A 13,082-nucleotide genomic window follows, 5' to 3' on the forward strand; every position below is an offset into this window, starting at 1 on the left:
ATAAATTCTATAATGTATAATGTTAAGATTAGACCCGTAATGTGCAATCATTTATTTAGGGAGGTAGTATTTATTTATTTACATAGGCTACATATCAAAGACAACTTCGTAGGCCATTTTCTGTTGTGAAAAATTAGTAAATTGGCATTGCAAAATTTCCAAACAGCCTTCACTTTATTCACAAACATTTAAGTAATATGCATTTAGTAGGGAGAATTTTTCTATCCACAGCTAAAGCAAATAGCTTGATTTAATTTTTAAGTTAATTTTTTAAAGCTAGGATAGAAAATAAAAATAAAAGGGAAAAATAGAATGTTATTTAATACCTTAAAGCATTTCTCTTAGAAATGTGTATTTGTATTTAAATAACATAGACTCAGCAAATCCATGTGGCTAGATAAATGCAGTAAAATCATATTTTAGACTTTAATGACAATTCTGATCACTTAATTAAGTTACACTTACATTTTTGGTGTTAAGAGTTTTACTGTGCTTTGAAGGCAATGTTCAGGCACTATATAAATAAAAGCATTAAAAATGAAGCTATTTCCCAGCATAATTATGTAGTTAGATCTGACAGTAGTAACCAGAGAAAATATTTTCAACTTCTCTTTTAGACCATTTGCTTTTTCAGAAGATATCATTTTAAAATAACCACTATGTTTTTGTGAAGTTCAGAGTGTGATTCCTTAAATAACTTCTTTAGTATGCTTTCAATGCCACTTTTGGACGACATCCAGGAAAGCAGCATTCATATTTAACCTGATTTAACAAAGATTGATTGCACATTTATGAACAATATATGTAATGGCTGTGCAACAGAGATGCCTCATGTCTGGAAAAGCAAGAGCTTCCAATCAGAAATTGCTTTCCAGTGTTGTCTTACCGAGAGTTTTTTCAATTTTTATCTCTGCAAACCCCTACATAGAAGTCAGAAAAATAAATTTGTGCTGCTCTAAGAACTTTATGTTCAAGTAGCAGTGAAAGCCAGAATAAAGATAGAGAATGTCACCATAGTGACCGTTTTAAAATTTAATTGTTTGTAGTCTTAAAGTCTGGAAAACATAAATTTTGAACACAAACTAGGAAAAGATAGTCCCCAGCTTCAAAGAGAAACATTCAAAACTTACCAAACTGCATTTTCAGTTGAAAAATAACATTCTAAAGAATAGATAATTTTTTAAGTTTATTAACATAAAACTTACATTATTCAGACTTGATACAGTGATTCTGGTCAGAATGTCCAATGAGCCATTTACTGATTTATAAAAACTGACTTAAAATATGAAAGAGAGGGACAAATGTATATTTTATAAGGCAGTCATTTGCCTTGAAATAAAACATTATATTTATAGTACTTTCTAGGAAAATATTGTCAAGGTTAGTCAGCTTCAAATTTGACCTAACTTGACACAGAATTCCTAGTTGAAAAAAATTGTGTTCATCGATATGTGGTGTGTGGGGGGTGTGTGTGTGTTCGTGTGTGTGTCCACACGTATGTGTGTGTATACAGGCACTCCATAATCAATGTACAGATTTTAGGGAGGAAAAAAGAAAAAGCACCCACACTTTCAATAGTTAGGGGCAGTACAGAGCAGGTATGTCATATATAAACTAACATAATAGGACCTAATTATAGAATAGCTCAAATTTAGAATATTTTAAAAGATTGTAATTTTAGAACTTTTAGGAATATTCTCACACTGAGTAAATTTAGCAGATATCCTTAAAAGTAGTTTTGAATCACAGGTTACTAGTGCATCCATCATTTGCATGGATTTCTAAATGCAACCTGTTGAAATTATTCTTGTTCATCAAACATGTATCTTGCTAAAAGTAGAATAGAGGAACACTTCACCTGTGACAAAATTGCCATAAATTCCAGCCAAGTGTTAGTGAGATTTTACTGTGTGTGTGTTTGTGAGTGTGCTTATGTGCACATGGAATTTGAAACTTAAGGAGAAAGTCTCCGTTAACATTTCAAAGGGCCCAGTGACACTACGGATTGGCATATGTGAAAAAAAACAGTATCTCCATTTTATAAAGGTAAGTCTAAAATTAAAAGACAGACACTAAATTGGTCCTGTTTAGAATTGGCATTGACAGAACTCCTTTCGAAATCTCAGCGGTACAGAAAGTCAAGACTTTAAGATTTTAAGTCTTTGAAATGATTAGCATAAACAGGCCCAAGATGTTAAAGAGAAAAATCCTAAATGTCTTCAAATTTTAACAGGAACCACAATTGCATGGATATATAATTTTTGTAAAAGAAAGTTGTTCTATTGTTCTTTCCTTTAATGCAATTGAAAATTTAAATTAACCTACAGGTTAATCAGTTTTCCTCAAGCAATTATAAAATCCTAAGACAAAGGATTCGTGAGTCAATATTTAATAGTTTCTGAAGACTTTTAGATTTAAATTAATTTTTTATATTGCTCAGAGCACAGCAGGAAATCACATGTAGAAAAGGAAACTAGATTGTTTACAGTAAACTTTGTGTTTTTGAATTATTAATTTAATTTGAAAAATGTAGTGGCTAGGCAGAAGTTCAATAGGAAGCATGTGATTCTTAATGAGTCCAGGCCAACATTAGATTAAGTAGAACAGATAGAAAGTAATAACCTTTTCATAAAATGAAAAGTGTTCGTGTATTCTGCTTTTTTTTTTTTTTTTTGACTTACAATGAAAGAAATGTAGCTACCAATAGTAAAAATGAATTAGAGCATTATTTGCTCTGGGTCTAGTATGACTGATGCATGTTCCCTCTGCTTGTTTCCTTGTTAGGGCTTATGGCCAGAAGAGATTCCAGTTTTAAGTACCAATTTCCCATTGAATTATTTGAAATTGGAGCTGCCTGATATGAATGACTTCCCGTGAAATGAAATTATAGTTAGGCTGACAGACTTACCTATAAAACTGTAAATGCAGTAATATGTATGCATGGGCATGCTACTAATTTTATTGAAGACTTAACCAAGCTTTCTATGCAACTAATATAGATCATGAGCAGTGTTCATGTAGGCATGGAGTCCTGACTCTCTGGAAAGAGTTTCTGTAGACATCGCTTGATTTTAACCCTTAAATTATTACTGACTGGTAGGAGAAAAAGGCAAGGGAAGGGAGGGGGCTCTAGAAAGAAAATCTGGGTCCCACCTTCATGGAAATGAGTAAGGAAATTTATTATTGACTTCCTTGGAAAATGAATGTTTTCACGTGGATGTTCCAAAGTTTGTATTAAGAAAGCAAATGGGAAAAAAAATGACCAATTTTTGACCAATTGAGTGTTGCACGGAGGCAAGAGAAATTTATCTGGATTTGAATAAATTATTTTGCTGTGAATATTGTGCAACCAAGTTAATCGTAACTAAATCCCCTAGCTTTTAATTTATGAAAAATATAGCTTATTTGCTTGTGTACACTGGACCCAAGGCAGAGGAAATTATTATATATAGTGCTTCCCATTATCCTTGTTATGCAATGTACTTTTTGATATATGTGTTTGTGTGCATATATGTGTGTGTGTATATATATATATATATATATATATACTTTAAAAAATCTGGGGAGCTTTATTTCCTTAAAGGGCAGCAAGTTTTTAAGTTTTCAAGTATCCCCGGAGCTTACAGAGTTTTTCTGGCTAGTTAACGAGAATACAGTAAATGGCCCAGGGTACATCTCTTGATGTGTCTGCTACCCAAGCTGTTAAACCCTTCTGCTGTTTGCCAACATATTTCACGTCTCCTTTACTCCCCAGGCATGCCCAGTGAGGCATGTGTTTGCATAAGAAATATTTTGTTAATGAAAAATTAACATGTCCAAAGTCACTAAAAAGTTCCACGGCAGAGGCAGGACCCAAAACCAAGATGATTCCAGCACACTCATCTCCTGCTTTTTCCCTCTCTATATGAGGTACTTTTTCCATGCCCAAATGCAAGTTTTTGTAAGAGAAACACCCCTCCACAGCATTTTCTTCACACTTAAGAGATACCTTGCCATATCATTGAATAGCCCTTGTATCTCTCGAGGCAGTGATCAAAGAAAGAAAATATAGATCTCCATTGATATGCTGTCTCTCCTTCCAACCTGCTTCTTGACCACACACATAGGCGCATGTACACGCGCGCGCGCGCACACACACACACACACACAGAGAGAGAGAGAGAGAGAGAGAGAGAGAGAGAGAGAGATAAAGGAAGTCCTAGAGCCTTCCGCATCATGAAATTTGATTATCAGTTTTGGTTTTGAGAATGAAAAGTGTCATCCCTGGAGATTTTTTATTTTTTTTATTTTTTTGGGGGGCTTGTTTTCCCCCACTTCCTCAATGGAGCCTCTGCAGGTTCTGCTGTTCTTGCAATCCTGGAGTCTCTGGAGTCCCAGCTGCCAGGATTGCTGGCTCTTGGCTCATACCTTTGAGTCCACTTCCCTGGGCAGCCCTGCAGGTCCTCCAAGTGGCTGTGTGCATGGGAGTCCAGCATTCTGGAGAAGTGATTTCACTGGCTCTCTGTGATTTAAAGGAGTAATAAGATGAAAAACCCTAGGAATTGGATCTTTCCCACTTATTTTTTTCCTTACAGTTTGAAAAAAGTGAGGCGTAGAATTGTCCTATGCCATACAGAACTTATATGAGAAAAACTAGAAGGAGTCTCCAGTGTCCCAAGCCCCTGTTTGGGGTTTTGGGGCAGAAGCATTTGTTGCTTTCTGTGAATGAAACAGACAAGTGATGAGGAAAGTGGAAGATTAGAAGAAGTAAAAGAGATACAGCTAAGAAAATAATTAGATAACCAATGAGCAAGAAGTATTTGAGGCCAGCTACCCACAATCAAAAATCCAAGTCCAACCTGATAACATTTTCAGACCAAATTACCATCCTCTTGGCTTCTGCTCCTGCCTCTGCCAATGGGTGTCTTTGGGTAAAAATTAATTAATTAATTAATTTAATTAAATAAAATTCACCTCCTTGGAACTTTGCTTCTGCCTTTTAAAAAAAGGAATGAAATAGTATCAAATGCCTTTTCTGATTATAAAGATAATCTTTCCATTCCCACACAAGGAAATAATTTAGGGGATAGTTCAGCGACAGAACTTCTCCCTCAGTAAGGTCTTTTAAGGGTTAATAAAGACACAGTGTGCTGGTATTTTGCACACCTCATAAAAAGAGACGTTCCCTATGTGAACTCACAGAGGCGTACCTGAGCACTGCTTCTTAACCACACACCATTTGTCTGGTTCAATGTGCATGCACAGAGAGCCATAATAGTCATGTGTAATGTGTTTTGGAGTGCAGTGTATTGCTCTTTTCTGAAACTTTTTCCCTTTCTTTCTTTTTTTTGTCAACTTTCTGCATTGGCAGAGCATCTTGGGATTGAATTTATGGGTATGGACCAATCATCATTCCTTTTAGCCTGCAGAATTTAGAGCCTATGAGCTGAAATCTTTTTCCCTTCCTACTCTTACCTTTCAGTTCCTAACTAATTTCCTTTTTCTTTAGAAGGGATCATACAGCTATAACAATGATTTCTCTGCCTTCAATCTATGATTAGTTTACTGAAATGTTACTGAGTGCAGCAGGTTTTAGATTCCTAAGCATCCTTCACTTAGAGTTTAAAAGTACCCTACCTGCTGCAAATTCACATATATCCCACGCTGCTTAACCCACTGATTGGATCTAGCTCTGCTGTTATATAAAAGCTGGGGTAAGTAGTAGTAGCACATAAAGGATACAGGGGAAATCCACTCAGAGACCTGAGAACAAAGGCTTTTTAAATCCATCTGCTTAAAAAACACACAGCATCTTAGCCTGGTAGGATTTTTGGCATACAATGTAAAAATCATCTATTTAATATAAGCAATGTAATGTATATAGAAAGCCCTTACGTTACAACACAATATTAAATGCACAGACTTGAATTACTCAGATTTTCTGGAGATACTCAAGCACCACCCTAGTCAACTTCATTATCTTATAAGAAGGAAATAGAAAACAGAAAGAAAGCAGCCTTGTGCTATTTTAGGTGGAGATTCCAGTGGTAATGGAATTAAATTTGAGTCATGAAGATTATCCAGACAAGTAATCAAATAGAAAATTTCACACTGTCAAAGTAAAAGAAAAATATATGAGTATACAAAATTTGGACACACTTTTTTGTAAGGCCTTCATCCTACATAGTTGGGATTGAAGACCAGTCTCTGGGGAGTAAGGAGCTGTGCTACCTTCCCAGAGACTCCACAGGGCCAGGCCAGTCAGTCTTTTTCAATGCTGCCTGCAGTCCCGGACCATGGTTGGGTCAGTGACACAATGTCCTGATTCACAGAATATCTGGTCCCCATCCAGCTGGCTTCAGGGACATCATGCAGCAGGGGCATCCTACAGCTGCTGCCTTCTTTTGGATGATAACATCACAGGCTGGACATAATGTAGTTTCCAGACTTTGCGGGAAATGAGGCAGTTGCAAGCTCTAGCAGCTACAGGGATTGCTCAATGGGTTGCCCATTTCTTCCTCAAAAAAAAAAAAAAAAAAAATCAGGAGTAAACTACCAATTTGATGAGAAGCCCCCAGGTGCACGTGAATGGGCCTTTGTGCCTCGCAGAACATCTCCAAAGAGGGAGAAACACAAGGGGGAGCACCTCTATTACTAGGGAGCACGTTGTGTACTGAGGGGAGCTATCTATTGGAGTTTCTTCCCTCAGGGAAAAAAAAAATTGTCCCACTTATGAAATGGATTATTGGCCTATCCTGCAGGGAGGGAAAAAATTCTACCATTACCCCAAACCCTTCTATCCTTAACAGCATATTTCTCATTTTTATAGCTGGAGGGTCTGACTATAGAATGTATTGTTTCTGTCCCCAACAGTAAAGTGAAAGACAGTTGAGATATATAACTTCCCCCTCAGTAAGATCTTCTATGGGTTAGAAAAGACACAGGGGGCTGCTATCCGCATGCTTCTCAAAGGTACAGTTTCCAGAGGCTCATAGTTCCAGGCTTGCCGGTGTACTAAACCAGAACATTGCATCCTTCAGGAAAATCAGACCTTAAAGGTCAAGTACAACTCAGAAAGGTAAGGGCTCTGTTTCTTGGCCAGGCCAGATCAGACTGAAAAATGTGCTTGATCTGGAAACATGTTAGTCCAGCCAAACCATGAAGACTCTGGGGCATTTGTGCTCATTGAGAGACAGACCCACCGATCGGAATGACAGACTCTTGTTTTTAGCCCTGTCTGTCTCTAATTTGCTCTTCCCCAGTTGACCTGACACATAAGAAAAAAATTAATATGGGGAAAAAAGAGGTTAAAGAATCCATTGTTTGTATTATTTTTCACCAAGTATTTTTCCTTGATCACATTCATAGTGTGGGATCACCTGATTGAGCCAAACCATGAAAAATTCAAATAGCAATGAGGATAAGGGTTGTAGTGCATCTGGTCAATGCTGATGTGAATATAAGATTTTAATCCCACGTCTGTATTCTATGGGCCTTCGCTTGAATCAGCTCATTCTAGTGCTGTTACATTACCCTTTGGCCTTTACTGAGCTACCTCTTTATTTCCATGAAATGATCATTTTACTGGAAAATGTGTGTCTTCCTACACTGCATAGAAAGAATGCACCCGTCATCATGCACCATATGTTTCCAAACGCAGCTCAATCTATTCTTCTGTAATTAACAACAACCAAAAGACAACTTGTCCCAAGAATCCCTGAGAGTATGCATGATTCCTTTTTCCCATTTAGCCCTTGTCCATGTCCCCATTTTTGAAGTCTGCAGAAGCAGTTTCCTAGCTTCTTTCTAAAGATAGGATGTTAAGATGTCAGTAGACAAGAATAACCACAGACTTGCCCATCTTCAAAGAAGAAAACAATAGAGGACGGAAAAGAGGACAATCATACAGGGCCTTCATCTCTTGTCAATAATACCTACACTCCTATTTCTTCACCAACTCATCACAGCCCAGGGAGCTGTGCTCTGCATCCTGGGTCCCAGGGAGAGAAGGACCAGTGGGGTGACAGCTTTGCTTCTTAGACATGTATCCTAAAACCTGATCAGGATACCAAGATCAGGAAGAGAGGCTACAGCAGCAGCTTCAACCAGATAACACCCCATAGAAATTAATTCCCTGTCCTGTGGCTATGGGGGAGGGGAGGCAGCAGACATATGCAATTAACATATAAGCACTCACATTCCATGTCCTCATCTGACTTTTGCTGCACACAAAATCCGTGATACCAACTCAATATCTCCTGGTACATTGTTTCACCGCAATGCACCAGCCGCTTCGCTTTCTAATTGTGGCTTCCACATGACTGCTAGATTAGGAGTTATGCTGTATGGAATGACCCTTCCAACTTTGCATCCACCTTTTCTTCCCACCCAAGCATTTCCTCCCTCTGGTTTTCTTTTCTTTCTTTATTTTTCCTCCCTTAGTATCAGGCATGCTGTGCCAGGGACTTCAGATGGCTCCTTAACTTTTAACCTTGTTTTCCCTTCCTCGGTCTCTCTGTCATTCTGTCAGTCTGTCTGTCCTCTTGGTTTGTTTTTCCTTTCCACCTCCAACCCTTTTGATTTGTTTTTGTATACTCTATGCAGCATTCTAGTCCTTTACCCACTGACTTCTCTTTTCCTTCTCCTCCTGTTAATAATCAGTGCTATATTAATTTGATTTGACAATGTTCTTGACCTGTTTACTGGAATTTGATTATCATGGGCTCGGCTTGTAGGAAATGTTTTGTTTCATGATAAGGTCCACTGTATCCTAGAAATTAAAATTCACTTTTTCATTTCAAGAAAACTTCCTGCAAGCTGCCCTCTCTCAAAAGAGAAAAAGGTGTAGTTAAAGGTGTAGTTGTGCCACTGCAGATATAATATGGAAATATGCTTTGAGGTTCCCTTGTTGATGTCCAGAATAGTCAGCTCTGTTTGTACAGTATTCCCCAGTTCTTGACCAATTTATTGATCATAATGGCAAGTGAACAGCTTACACTGCTTATTTCATACCAGTTGAGTTCTCTTTCTGAGTGAACTTGTGAAGATCTTCCAATAAATGTAATTAGACTCACTGGAAGCTCAGGTCCTTAGGGATCAGAGTCCCTATTAAATCAGCAAATCTTGTTAAGAACCTGACCTACCTTAGTATAATCAACTTATCCCCCAAAGAAACTAACTCGCAAATAGAAAAACTTCTATGAATTAGAGACTGATCGCATTTTGGGTGCAGTAGTATCTTTGGTTCAAAGTTCTAAGTGTCACATTTCCTTAGTATAATCTACATTAGCTCATTTGCCAAGTTGGCCAACGTAGGAATGTGCACTCTATTCCAAATCACACATCATTTGTACTGGTGACTTCTTTGGACAAATAAAACTTGTTCCTAAGTACAATTGGTGGAGTAGTTAGAATTGTCTTCCAAAGGACAAGTCACCATTTGGGCCCATAACTGTCCTACCCATCACATAGGATTTTCTTTGATACAGTGCCCTGCTACCTCATATTGTATTGCTTCTTGTGTTCACATTTTACTGTTAAATCACAGAGAGCCTGACTCAATTTACTAGTTAACTACAAGCCAAGTTCATGTTTGCAAATGTCTTTGAATTTAATATATTTAAGTTAGAAATGACTCTTTGTAAAGACCACTGGATATAAAGTGATGATATAAAATATCTGGGAAATACAAAAAGGCCAGGGGCTGGGGGATAAAGAGGGGAGGAAGGAGGAAGTGGGGGGCGCCCAGTGATGCCAATTCCATCTCCTTTAATTGGTGTTGATTCCTGTTGTCTTTGCAAGAGCTTTTTATATTTTATTTTGCAAGAGACTACAAAAAAAAATAAAACTACAGAGTTTTAACCAAATAGTTATTTTATAATTAATGTTTATGATTTCCAATTTACTATCAACTATATATATCTCTATAGCTTATAATTAGAAGTAATTTCTGAGTATAATATTTGTATTGTAAATGGCCCCAGCTGGCTTTTTTATATTTATGTTCAAAGCATAGTGCAGAGCATGTTGTACCTTAGCTATGTGTGTAAACGTAAAGAATTGTCATGTATTTATTTTCTTGTGAACATGGACAATGTCATGCAGCATGCCCACTGTTTGGTTGTAGTCAGTCCTGGCAAGTGGAAGTGACCTGTGATGACATCTGCTCTCATCCCTTTCCAGAGGCGGAGGAGCTGTACCAGAAGAGAGTGCTGACCATAACCGGCATCTGCATCGCCCTCCTTGTGGTCGGCATCATGTGTGTGGTGGCCTACTGCAAAACCAAGTAAACCTTCTTTCTCCATGCCTTTCTCTCTCCTTCATGCAGAGACAGCTTAGATGGCCAGGGCTTTGCAGAATCTGAGCTCCACAGCCTAGTCTTGGGGATAAAAAAAAAAGGAGGGGCAGGGGGAGATTATTTCCTCTGAATAATCCATTTTGAGGATGTCTCCTAAACACAGAAATAGAAAGCTGTTTGCCTATTCATGTAAAGATTTCTGTTCAATGACCACAGCCCCTGAGTGGATAAAGGCCTGGAGGGACAGGCTTGTATGGAAGGTATGTGTGTGGGTGGGACAGAATGAAGGCACCTCATTCTAAAAGGAGAGGGAGGGTACCAGAAGTCCATTTGAGGGCTTTAGTATAATTAAGTTATCCCCAAAAGAAACTAACTTGCACCTAGAAAAACTTCTATGAGTTAGAGACTGACTGCATTCAGGGTGCAGTAGTACCTTCAGTTCAAAGGACTACTGAGAACAAATCCAATTTACACTGAAAATTACGAGATAAAGGAAACCTTTCGTGGTATCTGAAATGCAGTTTTCTGAGTTATAGTGATTATTATTATTATTTTTAAATTCTATCTAATTAGGTTGCCAGTATGAATGCTCTCACAGCCTGAGATGTAAAAAAGGAATCTCAGGGGAGGAAAATGAAGCAAAACTTTCTTTGAAAACATAAGAGAGAAAACATTAGAATAGATTTGGGTTCCCTATGTTTGGTCTTGAAGTTTGGTCCGTATTAACAAATTCAATTACTATGTGACATGGATTCTCTTCACTTTTCTCTCCTACATATAACTTACATTTCAAGCCTAATATGTTAAATTAACAAGGTTTTTGAAAAAATGTTGCTGCACGATACTCTGTTGCCAAACCATCCATGGGAATATTTCATAATCTGAATGTTGCATTGAGGAAGAAAAATAATATGCTTTTATGCCACAAAATCCAAAGCATGGATTGTATTTTGTCAATATCCCATGATTTAGTGTGTTGCCAGAATTAAGGGATAGAGATAAGCCTTCCTGGAGTCGACCTGGTGAGTCTCATTAGATTCCATCTCAATATTCGCTGCCTAATTGCACAAAAAGCGTTACCAGAGTAGGAACATGTTACGATTGTGCCAAAATCCGCTGGCAAAATATGTCCACATTCTCACGCGTATACATGGGATACACTCACAAACATGCTAACTGTGTATATTCAAAACTCAGTTCATTTTCTTAAGAGACCCCAGGAAAAGCTATAAATGAAATCACTCTTATAAATTCTACAGCACATTTTTTTTTTTTAGACAGAATCTGGCTCTTTCACCCAGGCTAGAATGCAGTAGCACAATCTCAGCTCACTGCAACCTCCCCCTCCCTGGTTCAAGTGATGCTCATGCCTCAGCCTCCCGAGTAGCTGGGACGACAGGTGCACGCCACCAGCCCGGCTAATTTTTGTATTTTTTGTAGAGACAGGACTTCTCCATGTTGCCCAGGCTAGTCTCAAACTCTTGGACTCAATTAATTCTCTTGCCTTTGCCTCCGAAAGTGCTAAGCTTACAGGAATGAGCCACCCCACCCAGCCCAGCACAAATTATTATCTAAGACAAATAAGTGTCCATTTGTAAGACTTAGGCAAAGATGGATTGATTAGGAAATTTGTGATTTTAGTCAATTATCAAGTTATTTGTGTTATCCTATTTTTTTCTTGTCTCTCAGTAAAACAGCTAAATTTCCATAAGAATCCCAGGTGGCTTTTAAAATCTGTTTGGTAAGGATGTGTGGTTTCACTTATTCTGGGATACAGTGGACATACTCCCTTCCCTCTTCCTCATCACCAGTCTACTGCCTTGAACTACTCATAGGTGTTGGTAGAATAAAGACTTGGCTCTACTATGAAATGAAAATAATCAAAAAAAAATAAATGCTCCCTTTCTTATGTCCAGGAAACAGCGGAAAAAGCTGCATGACCGTCTTCGGCAGAGCCTTCGGTCTGAACGAAACAATATGATGAACATTGCCAATGGGCCTCACCATCCTAACCCACCCCCCGAGAATGTCCAGCTGGTGAATGTACGTTGACTCTGGCCAGTGGAAAAAACTGAGCCTCTCTCCTTTGTTCAGACGCCTTGAAGTTTATTTTCGAAAGCTCTTAAGCTTTTAGCTGCTGCCATTAATCACCATGGCTTCCAGGAATCCAGGTTTTTGCCAGGAGAAAATAATGGGAACATTTTTAAAAGTGGATTTGGTTACTGTAAAATCAGCACATTTCCTCTTATAAAGTGTTCATTAAGGGGTTGGAATAATAGTGTTGGGTTTGTTCTGCAAGGAGGCCATAGCTGGGGCTTGCGTGGAGAGAGTGGGGAGAAAACAAATTTAATAGTACGATAATCAAAAAGAATGTTTTCATATATAACTTGGAAATACAGGCTACTCCATTCTGTAACTGATTAGTACAGATAACCGAGCAAAGAGCTTTAGAGTTATTTTCTTAGGGCAATTCACAGTGCCTGATGATTTACTGGTTATGATTTCCAAAGGATTCTGATTTCCTTTAGGGCGTGGAAAGGTCAAGTGACTTATCAAACACCCTTCTCAGTAGCAAAAGAAGAGTGTCATGCCAGCTTCTTCCCTGGCCCTTTCTAAATGATGTCAAGCCCTCCAGATGAAATATATCCATAATCATTAAAATATTTTTTTCATACTGTACCAAACACTCAGCATTCAGTTTTTTAAATACAACTAGATCATAGAATATTAGGTTCTGGAGAGTTTGAAGATATTATCTTTCAAATCTCTCTTTTTCTTTTTACAGATAAGGGCCAGAGCCGCACCA

The 13,082-nt window shown here is 38.0% G+C and overlaps 1 protein-coding gene across 21 annotated transcripts in view; it reads left to right on the plus strand.

The window, feature by feature from the left end:
* The window catches only part of NRG1 (neuregulin 1), a 1,134,802-nt gene that overhangs the window by 1,104,966 nt on the left and 16,754 nt on the right, over positions 1-13,082 (plus strand). For 11 of the 21 annotated variants that reach the window (NM_001322201.2, NM_001322202.2, XM_017013371.3 and 8 more), the window contains 2 exons: positions 10,162-10,264; positions 12,193-12,319. In NM_001322201.2, coding sequence (NP_001309130.1) covers positions 10,236-10,264; positions 12,193-12,319 — 156 coding nt within the window. In that variant the 5' untranslated portion in view covers positions 10,162-10,235. Of the gene's footprint in view, positions 1-5,350; positions 5,375-10,161; positions 10,265-12,192; positions 12,320-13,082 lie in introns of all 21 variants that reach the window. The other 10 variants (NM_001159999.3, NM_001159995.3, NM_001160001.3 and 7 more) reach the window with 1 other exon arrangement.

This window comes from Homo sapiens, chromosome 8 (genome assembly GCF_000001405.40).
Source record: "Homo sapiens chromosome 8, GRCh38.p14 Primary Assembly".
In the NCBI taxonomy this organism is placed as follows: domain Eukaryota; kingdom Metazoa; phylum Chordata; class Mammalia; order Primates; family Hominidae; genus Homo; species Homo sapiens.